We start from the raw sequence: 14304 nt of genomic DNA on the forward strand, positions 1-14304 counted from the left end.
TCAAAAACCTCATTTTTTGTTTTGTTCATCTTTTTGTATTGTTTTTTACATTTCAGTTTCATTTATTTCTGCCCTGATTTTTATTATTTCTTTTCTTCTACTAATTTTATCTTCAGTTTGTTTTTGTTTTCCTAATTCTTTAAGATGCATTATTATGTTGCTTATTTGAAGTTTTTTTTTTTTAATGTAGGCACTTAATAGCTACAGACTTCCCTCTTAGTACTGCTTTGGCTATATCCCACAGGTTTTGGTATGTTGTGTTTCCATTATCATTTGTTTCAAGAATTTTTTTCAATCTCCTCCTTAATTTCTTCATTAACTCATTGGTCATTCAGGAATATATTGTTTAATTTCCATGTGTTTGAACAGTTTCCAAAATTCCTCTTGATATTGATTTCCAGTTTTATTCCATTGTGATCAGAGGAGATGCTTGATATTTAATTTTGTTGAATGTTTTAGACATTAATGTTTATGGTCCATCCTTGAGAATGCTTCATGTGCTTAGGAGAAGAATGTGTATTCTGTAGCTGTTTCGTGAAATGTTCTGTATTAAGTCCATTTGGTCTATAGTACAGATTAAGTGTGAAGTCTCTTTGTTGATTTTCTGTCTGGAAGATCTGTTTAATGTTGAAAGTTGGCTTTTGAAGTCTCCAGCTATTATTGTATTGGGGCCTGTCTTTCTCTTTAGCTCTCATAATACTTGCTTTATATATCGGGGTGCCCAATGTTGGGTGCAAATGTATTTGAAATTGTTATATCTGCTTGCTGAAGTGACCCCTTTATCATTATATAGTAACCTTCTTTGTCTCTCCTTGTAGCTTTTGGCTTGAAATCTATTTTGTCTGATACAAGTATAGTTAGTTACTCCTGCTCTTTTTTGGTTTCCATTGACATGGAATATCTTTTTCTATCTTTTTATTGTCAGTGTATATGTATCTTTATAGGTAAAGTGTGTTTATTTTAGGCAACAGATCAATGGGTCTTTATTTTTCATCCATTCAGCTACTCTTTATGTTTTGATTGGAGAGTTTAGTACATTTACATTGAATGTTATTATTGATAAGTAAGCAATTATTCCTCCCATTTGGTTATTTGTTTTCTGGTTGTTTTGTGGTCTTATCTTCCTTCTTTTTTCCATTCTATCTGCCTTTCAGTGAAGGTAATTTACTCTGGTTATATGGTTTTGTTTGTTGCTTTCTATTTTTTGTGTATCCTGTGTATTTTGGGGAGGGGTTATGTTACCACGAGGCTTGCAAATACTATCTTGTAACTCATTATTTTAACCTGAAAACAATTTAGCACTTTTTGCATAAACAAACAAACAGGTAAAAAACCCCAAAAAACTCTAAACCTTAACTTTGTCCCCCTACTTTTTAACATTTTGTTGTTTCTATTTATATCTTATTGTACTGCTTATGTCTTGAAAAGTTGCTGTAGTTATTATTTTTTATTGGTTTGTTATTTATTCCTTCTACTTAAGGTAAGTTTAGATTACATACTAAAGTTATAATGTTATAATATTCTGTGGGTTTCTGTGTACTTACTATCACCAGTGAGTTTTGTACCTTCAGATGATTTCTTTTTGTTCATTAATGTCCTTTTCTTACTGATTGAAGTACTCCCTTTAGCATTTCTTGTAGGACAGGTCTGGTGTTGATGAAATACTCAGCTTTTGTTTGTCTGGGAAAGTCTTTATTTCTCCTTCATGTTTAAAGTATATCTGATGCAGAAATAGGGTAAATTTTTTTTTTTCTTTCAGCACTTTAAATATGTCATGCCACTCTCTCCTGGCCTGTAAAGTTTCCACTGAAAAGGCTGCCTACCAGACATATTAGAGCTAAATTGTATGTTGTTTGTTTCTTTTTTATTGCTGCTTTTAGGATCCTTTCTTTACCTTTGACATTTGGGAGTTTGATTATTAAATGCCTTGAAGTAGTCTTCTTTAGATTAAATTTGCTTAGTGTTCTATAACCCTCTTATACTTAAATATTGCTATCTTTCTCTAGGTTTGGGAAGTTCTCTGTCATTATCCCTTTGAATAAACTTTCTACCCTAATCTCATTCTCTACTTCCTCTTTAAGGCCAATAACTCTTAGATTTGCCCATTTGAGGGCTGTTTGCTAGATCCTGTAAGTGTGCTTCTTTGTTTCATTGTTTTTTATTCTTTATTCTTTTGTCTCCACTGACTGTATTTTCAAATAGCCTGTCTTCAAGCTCACTAATTCTTTCTTCTGCTTCATCAATTCTGTTATTAAAAGACTGTGATGTATTCTTCAGTATGTCAGTTGCATTTTTCATCTCTATAATTTCTGTTTTATTATTTTTAATTATTTTAATCTCTGTTAAATTTATCTGATAGAATTCTGAATTTCTTTTCTGCATTACATTGAATTTGCTTCAGTTTCTCCAACATAGCTATTTTAAATTATTTGTCTGATATGTCACATATCTTTGTTTCTCCAGGAATAGTCCCTGGTGGCTTATTTAGTTCATTTAGTGGGGTCGTATTTTCTTGGATTGTCTTGATACTTGTAGATGTTTGTCTGTGTTTGAGCATTGAAGAGTTAGGTATGTATGGTAGTCTTTTCAGCCTGGTCTTGTTTGTATTTGTACCTGTCCATCTTGGGAAGTCTTTCCAGATATTCAAAATAACTTGGGTGTTCTAATCTAAGATGTATCTGCTTTAGGGAGCACCTCAACCCCAGTAATGCTGTGGTTCTTGCACATTCATTGAGGGACCACTTTGATGGTCTTTGACAAGATCTGGAAAACTTATCTGAATTACCAGGTAGAGACTCTTGTGTTTCTTGTTTGTTTGTTTGTTTTTCCTGTTACTTTCTCCAAAACAAATGGAGCCTCTCTCTCTGTTCTGAGCGATGTGGAGCTGGTGGTGGTGTGACACAAGCACCCTTGAGACCACCACTACTAGGACTCTGCTGGGTCAGACCTCAAGCCAACACAGCACTGGGTCTTACTCAAGACCTGCTATAACAATTCCCTGGCTGTGGCCTATGTTCACACAGGACTTGGGGCTCTTCAATCAGCAGGTGGCAAAGCCAACCAGGCCTGTGTCCTTCCCTTCAGTGTGACAAGTTCCTCTCAGGCCCTGGGCATGTGCAGAGATGTTGTCCAAGAGCCACGTTCTAGAGTCAAAAACCTTAGAACTCTATCTGGTATTCTATTGTACTGTGGCTGAAGTAGTACTCAAACCACAAAATGCAGTCCTTCCCACTTTTCCTTTTTCTTTCCAAAGGCAGAGGAGCTTCACCCTGTGGCCAGAGCCACTACTGGCCCATGGGGAGTACTGCCAGACTACCACTGCTGTTCCCTTAAGCCCCAAAGGCTCTTCAGTCAGCTTGTCATGAGTGCTACCTTGCCTGGGACTCACTCTTCAGAGTAGTGGGCTATCCTCTAGCCCAAGGCAGGCCCAGAAATGCCATGCAAAAGCCAAGTCCTAGAACCCCATGAACCTACTAAGTACTCTACCCCACTGTGGCCAAGCTGGTGTCTAAGGTGCAAGACAAAGTCCCCTTTGCTTCTCCCTCCCCCAGCCACTTTTCTCAAGTGGAAGGAGTCTTACCCCATAGTCACCATGGCTGGGAACCTGCTGAGTCTCACTTGAAGCCATCAAGTTTCCAGTCTTACTCAAGGCCCTCGACATAGTACCTGAGTATTGCTGCTGGTTATTCAGGGCCCAAGGGCTCTTCATTAGCAAGTGGTAAATTTTTCCAGGACTGGGTTCTTCCCTTGAAGACAGCAGGTTCCCTTCTGGCCCAGGGTGTGTCTAGAGATGTCATCCAGGAGCTACAGCCTGAAAAGAGAGCCTCATAAGTCTGACTGGGGCCATATCCTGCTGTGGCTGAGATTCAAGATGCAACACGAAGTCCTCCCCACTCTTCCTTCTCCTCTCGTAGAGTGGAGAAAAGGGATCTCTCTTGGAACTGTGAGCTGTGCAGCCTGGGGCTAGGGGAGGCGTGATGCCAGCTCTCCGTTAGCCACCACATACTCCTATAGTCCACTGTCTACTGGCCACGTTCAGCACTAGGACTTGCCTAAAAGTTGCAGTCCTTGTGGCCTAGATAGTCTTTTGAGTTTATTTAAGGCCCCAGCGCCCTTTAGCCCACAGTGGTGAGGCTTGCAGGAACTCAAGTTCAGACCACTGGGATTAGTGATTCCCCTCTGGCTAGGGCTGGGTTAAATGCTCCCTCCATGGGCAGGCATCAACTGAGTTGGTCCGGTTCTGTTTTCTGTTATAATAGGACAGCACTGAGTTCAATGTGTCACAAATGCTGCAATCTCCCTCTACCTAGCACACAGAAGCACTCTCCATACACTGCCCACCCACTGCTGGGGAATGGAGGAGGAATGGTGTTGGTGATTCAAGACTGTTTTTCCTACCCTTTCAGTGCCTCTTTCTCTTTCAGTGATATGAACTTAAAACCAAGTGCTGTGAGTGCTTACCTGATTTTTGGTTCTTATGAGGTACTTTTTTGTGTAGATAGTTGTTAAACTGGTGTTCTTATCAGGGGGACAATTGCTGGAGCCTTTTATTCTGCCATCTTGCTTCACCAGAAATCCAATATTATTATCTTATTTGGTCTAGCTTATCAGTAGCCCTTCTCTTGTAGGGGTCTCTATGTCTCTTCCATGGGGCTTTGCTAAGTTCAAATACAGATTCACATATTAAACAGTGCCGCCTTTAAACTCTGATCTGCCTTTAAAATCTTTGGATATACGTAAGACTGACATTTTGTAAAGTAGTATATGAGCAATGTGACAACAAATTAAATGTTTCCTTTAAAAAAAAACTAAACACTCTAGAATATGAATAAATGAAAGCAATCTTTTTAAATGGTCATTTTGTAAGATTATCTGTTTCTAGAAAAACTTGCTGGTTCAGGACAAATCTTGAAACTGCCTTCAAAAAATTCATAAACCTATTTTTTGAAAAGAAATTTCATTCACATACACTAAAGCTGAATGTCTTTCTTTAAACCACAAATAAAATAATATGAGTACAATGCATAAACTTAGCTTTAATATTTCAAAAAAACCAATTCTATCCTCAAAAAATAAAGACTTAAACACTTGCAGCTATATTAAAGGATATGTTAATATACAAGGAAGCACATTTCCAGATGAGATTTTCTAAACATATGTTGGATGATATGGTTTGGCTGTGTCCTGACCCAAATCTCATCTTGAATTGTAGTTTCCATAATCCCCGCATGTCATGGGAGGGACCCAGTGGGAGCTTATTGAATCCTAGGGGCAGTTACCTCCATGCTGTTCTCATGGTAGTGAATGAGTTATCATGAGATCTGATGGTTTTATAGGAGGGTTTTTCCCCCTTTGCTCTCCACTTCTCCTTGCCGCTGCCATGTGAAGAAGGACATGTTTGCTTCCCCGTCTGCCATGATTTTAAGCTTTTTGAGGCCTCCCAAGCCATGTTGAACTGTGAGTCCTCTTTCCCTTAAAAATTACCAGTCTCAGATATGTTTTATTAGCAGCGTGAGAATGGTCTAATTTTTGAGGCCTCCCAAGCCGTATTGAACTGTGAGTCCTCTTTCCTTTAAAAATTACCCAGTCTCAGATATGTTTTATTAGCAGCCTGAGAATGGACTAACACAATGGTCTATCATTAATAATTCTATTCAGGTCTGTTTCCTTAAAAATTAGTAGAATACCTGACATACTGTAGACCTCTGAGAGTCTCCCCTTGGTGTGCATTTACGTTTAAGAAGAGGATATATTAATACGTTTATGAAGAAGGGTAAATCCTGGTTTTTGCTCTTGAGGTTCTAAAACTTGATTAAGGAAATAAAAAGACAGGCATTGTGGGGACACTGGGGATTTTAGAACTTTTCTTTTATACCCAGAAAAATTTTAAAGATTCAAAACAGGACTATGTCTGTCTCTTTAAGAATTTAAACATTTGATAGTAAGGTATAATTAAGAATGAACTTCAAAGCATCAATTTACCTTAATCAATAGTCTTACTGTGTGCTTGGACACTTTCAAGGGAAATGAGGAGAAAACAAGTAAAATTATAAGCTAAAAAAAAACAGAGTAATAGAAAATATTCACCAAATACATGCAGTTGACTTTCCCAGTAGCAAATTAATTTTTAGTACAAAAAAAATTTTTTTGTATTTTCCCCTATAAGATTTGGAAAGTACAGAGAGATTAGAGAAGAAAGACAGTCTAGTCGAGACCAGACTGACCAGCATGGTGAAACCCCATCTCTACTAAAAATACAGAGAGATTAGAGAAGAAATTTGGGTAACAGACCTTGTTCTATATCAATTTTGGCAATCTCTTCACTGAAAAGAGGAAACATTCTATGAAGCTGAAAAGGATCGAGAGTGATAAACACCATTAAAATACATGGACTGCTTTCATTGTTCTTACATGAAAGCAGTCACAGAACAGATAAATACAAAGACAAGTTACATTAGCACTGCTCTCTGAACCTGCAAATGGATGCAAATGAAGCCTAGACTATATAATCCAAGATAAGAAGCAGAAATTTCAGCCACAAAGAATCTAAGTGTAACTTAATTCTAAGGTTACCATGGAAGTTTAATTTTACATTTAAAGCAATTAAAAAAATAAAATTTTCTATGTAGTTTAATCTCATCAAAAGCTCTGTGAGTAGTTCACATTTCTATAAATCTCATTTCAAAAATGCAATATCTTACTGTTAATATAAAATATTGGTATTTGGACAATTTTAAATTATTATTTTACTAAAAGTGCTTAAAGAGAAAATTATCAATTAATTGTTTGGCACAGGTCATTAAGTTCTGAGCTACTCTGTTGCATATGTCTAAAATGCACCAAACCATGGAGTCTACACTACTCTCCTGGCAACCAGTTGCTACAGAAAAGACTGAGGAGCTGCTATATTCTATAACTGCCAGTCTATAATGTCAACAGAACCAGTGCCTTACAGTGAGTCAAGCAATGTTTATTGGCTGGGTGCGGTGGCTCACGCCTGTAATCCTAGCACTTTGAGAGACCGAGGCGGGCAGATCTTTTGAGGTCAGGAGTTCAAGGCCAGACTGACCAAAATGGTGAAACCCCATCTCTACTAAAAATACAAAAAAAAAAATTAGCTGGGCATAGTCGTGCACGCCTGTAATTCCACGTACTAGCGAGGCTGAGGCAAGAGAATCGCTTGAACTTGGGAGGCGGAGATTGCAGTGAGCCGAGATCGCGCCATTGCACTCCAGCCTGGGTGACAGAGTGAGACTCCGTCTCGGAAAAAAATAATAATAAAAATAAAATGTTTATTAAATATCTACTGTGTGCTAGAGGAAAAAAAATGAGCAAAAACAGAGAAGAAAGAGCATGGCAAGTACAGGGAATTATAAGCTGTTGAGGATTCATGGTGAGCTAGGAGCAAACGGTGAGTATCCAGAAATGCAGCTAGAAGGGTTTGTCCTCAAGGACCTTAGATGTCAGGATGTTTAACTTTATCCTGTACATTATGGGGAGCCAACAAGCATGATCAGCAAGGGCACAGTCTGATTTCCATTCTTTTAATCTGTTTTTGGCTACAGTGTATAGGATGAACATGTAGGAAGATAGATCAGTTAAGAGCTCACTGTACAACTCTGTATGAGCCATGAAAGTCTGAACAACAAAAATGATACCAAAAGGTAGAGTCAACAATCGTGGTAGTTGAATGTGGGAAAGGCAGTGAGAGCAGTCTATGATTTTCTTTAACAAAAATTTATATGATGCATACTGTGCCAAGGACTCTTGTAAGTGCTTTATTAACGAAGCTCATTTAACACCCATAAAAGTCTTATAAAGTAAGCACTATGGAAACTCACTTTTACAAATGAAAAAATCAGGCCATCAACCAGCTGATTAAGTTGTTCATTGTCACACCAATTGCCTGTGATTTAAACAAGATTTTAGCAATAAATGGGGCATAAGAATTTATACTTCTTTTAAAATTGTTTTTAGAGACAGGATCTCTCTCTATCACCCAGGCTGGAGTGCAGTGGCACAATCATACCTTACTGAAGCCTCAACCTCCTGGGCTCAAGTGATCCTCCCACCTCAGCCTACCGAGTAGCTAGGATTACAAGCGTGCACCACAACACTTGGATAATTTTTTGTTTTTGTAGAGATGGGATTCTGCTATGTTGCCCAAGCTGGTCTCAAACTCCTGGGTTCAAGTAATCCTCCCACCTCTGACTCTCAAATGCTGGGATTCAGGCATGAGCCACCTCACCCAGTCCAGAGTTCACATTTCTAACCACTGAACAGTGCTGCCTACCTAGAAGGCCAAGGAAGGCTGCCAGATTTTTGCCTTGAGGAACTCAGGAGATGGTGATGCCATTAAGAGAACTATGATTGGATAGGAAGGTGAAAATGCTTTGGGCATGTTGTATTTCCAGTGCTCATGAGTTATTTAAGTGGAAATGTCTACCAAACTTATCTATATTAGAATCTGAAGCTTTAGAGAAACAACAGAGCTAGAGATGTAGGTTGGATCTATCAGTATATAGGTTAAAATCAAGACAAGAATGATTTGAGATTACTTAAGAATATGCTGAAAAGGTTAATAGAGAGAATGCTGGAAAACATCAACATTTAAAATGCAAGCAAAGGAAGAAGAAAGCATTAAGATAAACCAAAATAAATTGTCAGGGTGGGAAAGTAATTTTTAAAAATAAAGTTATGGAAGAAAGAGATAAGAGATGCTGTAAAATAAAGACTAAAACACCAATAGGTTTAACATTATGAAAGTCCCTAAAGTCCTTGGAAATAAAGGCCAGATTTTAAAGTGTGGAGGAGGAGAAAGGGAAGCTGTGAAAAACAGAGAGAAAGTTGAAGGCAGGCCTTGGGTTAGAGATGAAAACATGAATAAAGTGCCAGTTTTTAATGAAAATGGAATAGTCCCATGGTATTAACACCAACGAGAGTCTTTTATACAAAGGCAGATGTGCAAGGGTTTGAAAGTGGAATTAAAGCGCTGGAAAAGTGCTACTACCCCCACTGCTTTCTCTGTGACCCTTGGAGCATGAAGTTCAGGGAGGGGAGGATGAGAGAAAGAATCAAGTGAAAGGAAGCACAGAGAGTTGTACAGAGATAAGAATGCAGGTTAATACACTTTTTTTGTGAGTATTGAAGGCTATAATGCAAAAGAGTGATTTGCTCAAGAAGTGATTTTAGAAAGATTTATATGGCACTGATACAAATGTTCAATGGAGTAAAAGGAAACAAAAGAAAGAAGCTGAGACATTTTTATGATGACCTAAATCAGTGCTTCTGAAAGTGTGGTCTGTGGATTTGTGGGGTCTCTAAGACTCTTTCCATGGATCAACAAGGTCAAAAAAATTTTAATAATAATTCTAGAAAGTTAAATGGCTTTTTCACTGTATTGTATTTTTGCACAAATGAGGCATAAGCAATCATGAGTTCAACTGCTAATACCTTAGCAGGAATCGAAACAGTGACCCCATGGCATACTAAGAGTCACTGTACTCTTCACAGACGTGCACTCACAGAAGAAAAACACGAAAGAAGTTCCACTTTTAAAAATATAATTAATGGATCAGTAAAATGTATTAATTGTATTAAATCTTGGCCCTTGAGTACATCTCTTTAAATCTGTGTATGATGAAATGGGAAGGACACATGAAGCTTCTGCCACAAACTAAAGTAGAATGCTTGTCCCAAAGAAAAGCGCATGTTGCCTGTTTGAGCTGTGAACTAAATTAACCACTTTTTCCGTGGATCACTATTTTTATTTAAAGAATGACTGAGGCCGGGCGCGGTGGCTCACGCCTGTAATCCCAGCACTTTGGGAGGCTGAGGCAGGCAGATGACGAGGTCAGGAGATCGAGACCATCCTGGCTAACACGGTGAAACCGCGTCTCTACTAAAAATACAAAAACAAAATTAGCTGAGTTTGGTGGCGGGCGCCTGTAGTCCCAGCTACTCAGGAGTCTGAGGCGGGAGAAAGGCGTGAACTCGGGAGGTGGAGCTTGCAGCGAGCTGAGATCGCGCCACTGCACTCCAGCCTGGGCGACAGAGTGAGACTCTGTTTTAAAATAAATAAATAAATAAAATAAAATATAATGATAAAGAAATGTTTTTATAGAGCTCTCAGTTTTAATTTCTGAAGTGATAGACTGTGATAAAGATAACCTAAATAAGAAAAGCTTTTTGGATCCTCAATAATTTAAAAATGTGTAAAGAGTCCTGAGACTGAAACATCTGACAACTGTTTATCTATTAGAAAGTGATAAGGGGCTGTACTAGGGTAATGGCAAACCTCTGTAACTGGAAATTGAAGAGCAAGACTTGAATAGAAATGAGGTTCCAGATTTTAGAAAGACATTTAGGCTTATGTATCATTTAAACTAGTTGTTTTTGGATAAATTTTCAAGAGTTGATTTAGTTGGACCCTAGATACTACCTTCAGGCCCTTAAAAGAATCAGGTCCTTTAAGGACGATTCTGTACAGTTAAATATAGTGTATTATTTATAATAATTCTTCTTGCTAATTTCTAGGCCACATACAACAGGATATAAAAAGCCAAACAACAAAGGATAAATTCTTTCATATGTGTGTAATCCTATAAACCCTCTTTGAAGTTGATTCTCATATTTTTATTTTACAGAAAAGGAAACCAAATATCAGGAAGTATAAGTAATTTAGTAAGTCACAAGGAAGTAAATAGTTGAGACTGGATTTTGAACTGCTTTTTTTTTAATCAAAAGTCCGGGGCTTTCATCCACTTTATTCTAGATGGCTTTGTTTTAGGTTTATTGGGTAGAAGTTGGTGTGAGGAGTTTTTTGCTTTCATTTACTTATTTATTTTTTTACCATGCAAATAAAGAGTGCCTATTCCATTTTACTTGATATGTATGCAACAATCCAGTGATCAAGGATAATATTGTATCACAATGCATTTGCATTCTCATTAGCTATGCCCATTTAAAAGTTAGATAACATAGAAAATATCTATAAACAAATACATAAAATGTTCCTCCAATGAAACCTTGGATGTCCCATTTTTCTGAGCTTCAAACCACTGTAATTGTTTCCTGCATAGTATTTATGTTTGTGTTCCTCATTAATAGCCATTAATCATGTGTTCCATTAACAGCCACTCTCAACAGAATCAGGACTAAGCTATTAAAGTAAGTGTAGGATGAAGGCAATTCTATGAATAACTAAGCCAATAGATGTTGAAATTCAAAGAAGAGAAGTGACTTTTAGCACTTTCCTGGGATTCATCCGTGCTATGAATAAATACGTTGCTTTGAAACAAATAATTTTTGTGAAAAATGTTGCATGATATGGGTTTGATAGCAATGTTCAATCTAAATGTATAGATAATAAATTATTCTTGCTTCGAATAGAAAGCCTGGGCTAAGCAAGAAGCATCAACAAAAAGACAGATATTTCTATTGTACAAATTACATATTAAGGCTCAATGAAATAAAAGATATATTTGGGATCAATACTGTATGAAATAATTATGTTTGTAATAAATTGACTCATTTATTTGCAGTCCATCTCCTTTTATGAGAGACTTGAACTTTCACAACAGACTTCAGACCAATTGAGTAGGAAATGAACAATTATGGAGGAAACAGGGAATATACCATAGGGAAACTCTGAAATAACAAAAACTTGAAATTGAGGTGCTTTTATACTACATATTAAGTGGTATTAATTTATTATTTCTGGAACAGTTTTTCTCTAGGTTTCTCAAGACTGTCAATATATTTGAAAGAAAATTAAATTTGTTCTGCAGCTTCCTGAATTGTATATTAAATGGGTGGAAGATACCAAGATATAAATGTTAAACAACTTAAGGAAGGACATGCAATGATAACCAGAATATTCTATATTCAAAATAGAAGGATAATAACTATCCTCACTGAAAGATGATAAAGACCAATAGAAAACAAAAAAATCAATCTCAGCTGAGAATATGAAGCACAAAGTTCAAGTCCTGCTCTAGAGAGTAATTGCATTTTTCTATAAAACAGAATAAAAAAACAACTGTTTCTAGAAAAGGGCAATGGGAATGGGGTTGCTCTTTGCCTGTAATTCTAGAAGAAAAGGCATATGGCTAGTCCATAAGTCTATACATTTAAGTCCTGGTTGGTTGACAGACTATATTGAGTCAAAAAGGACAAAACGTCTTCATTAAGGTTTTCCCATAAAGATGTTTTATTTTCAAACTGTGTCATTAAAAAAATCACCCAGATTGTTTTATTTTTATTTTATATTATTTATCACCCAGATTGCATATATTTTATGCCATTATCTGGGTATAATGGCATAAAATATATGCTAATCATTTTTTCAACTGAATTCAAATATTATGCACATTAATATTCATATATGTTTAATATAGAAAGAAACACAGAGAGTGAGGGAGGGAGTCCACTATGTATTAAGTACTGTGTTAGTGAGCAGACCTCCCTTAGGAACCTTATTACGGAGTACAAAGCTAGGAGAGTAAATAAAGTATATTAAAAAATGCATACAAAAGATGACAGAATCACCATTCCAAAAGATCTTGGTGGATAAGAATCATGAATTGGATCTAACAAGATGTAACTTAAAAGTAAAAAAATCTATAGTGTTGTACTGAGCTCCCTCCAAAGCAACTATAAATTTATAGGAGATGAAACATATGATTCACCAGGCATAAGAAGAAAGTTTCCGTAATCAAACACTATTGTATCCATCTTTTTAAACTCCAGCTCCTATCACAGCACCTGGTCCAAAGCAGATCTTTAGTATTTGTGGAACTGGCTTGGATTGTGTTTAGGAAATTTTGTCATTGGTAAACCTAAGGAGAGTCAAGAGAACAACGTGACCAAAAAATAAAACTAAAAAAAAAAAAAAGGGACTTTCATTGTACTGGTAGAAAGACAAAGTTTATAATCTGGCTTAGTTTCTTTTTTTGTTGTTGTTTGTTTTTTGGTCAGGGCAAATTTAGGTCATTATTTTTAACACTGGAACTGTAGTTTCAGAGCAGATAGACAAACTATAATGAGAATAGATGAACAGCAAGGCCACTGAAAGGACTCAGAACTACATCTTATAAGAAACAACTGAATGATGCTAATGTTTAACTTGCAAAAGAGAAAACTCAGTTGATTTCAAATATATGAAATATAGTGGTAAGGAGTTATCACTTATTAAGCAATTACTATTGCAATGTATACTCATTTAATCCTGCTAACAGACATATGAGGTGAATATTATTAGCCTACCCTCGCCTTTTTTAAGTAATGAGAAGACTGTCATCCTGTAGGGTAAAGTAACATGTCCAAACTCATACAGCTACAAAGTTACAAAGCTGATTTATAAAATGATTGACTCCAAGGTCAGGAATTATTATACTGTGTCTTGTCTTCCACATGAACTAAGCACAAAGGAACTGAATGCAGGCAGACAGATTTCAGCTCAATATAAGAGAATTGTTACATTAGTTCATGGAAGAATATGTTTTAAGGTATTTTTGTTAGTCTCTAGGAAATCTCTGTAACATTTTATTGTGTAAATTATATGCTTTAATGTAAGAGGATAAAAATAATAGTGAACATTGGCAAAATAGCCTATGATTAATAGAGTTTACCTATGAGTTATCTGTTTCTAAGATAAATGCCAAAAAATAATATTGGAATTAAATGTTCCTTTCAAGATCTTCCCTCCCTGCTCCCTGAAATTGCAGTGAATTTTTCAAGACCAACTGAGGACATGTATTTTCAATGTTTATGGTTAAAAGATATGTACATGCACAGATATATACATGTACAGAAATGAGAATTACTTCAGAATTGGTGTTAACTTTAGAAAAAAAAAGACCAAGAACTTACTCTTGGTATTTACAAATTTATTTCTAAAATAGAAGCACTCATGGACTTAGAAGTAAGGTATAAAATTCAAAAACGTATCCATGTTTCTCAAGGATCTTGTTGTAGGCCACTCTAATTCCATATATTATGTGGCTTTTCCTAGAATTTTTACACTAGAAAACAGACTGAATGCAAATTTTGTTTTGTTTTAACAACCTTCTTCTCAGAAGCATATGTCTATCGAGGAAGTCTTCAGATAAAAAAGATAAACAATTCCAAACAGGTCTATGAGATTTAAGATGTGAAAGATCAACATTATCTTTAGTTGACTTTACTGGATGCCACAACCTTCTGATTTCTGTAACCACTTCTTATGCCTCCTACCCACTGAAACAAAATCAGAGGCAAACAGAGCTTCACCCTAGAAATTGGGGAAAATGAGGAACAGGTTTT

General features: G+C 36.4%; 1 protein-coding gene across 3 annotated transcripts in view; it reads left to right on the forward strand.

Annotated features, from left to right (window-relative positions):
- The window catches only part of OPRM1 (opioid receptor mu 1), a 236372-nt gene that overhangs the window by 13982 nt on the left and 208086 nt on the right, over positions 1–14304 (forward strand). The gene's annotated exons all lie outside the window — the stretch shown is intronic.

Source organism: Homo sapiens, chromosome 6 (genome assembly GCF_000001405.40).
Source record: "Homo sapiens chromosome 6, GRCh38.p14 Primary Assembly".
NCBI lineage: Eukaryota > Metazoa > Chordata > Mammalia > Primates > Hominidae > Homo > Homo sapiens.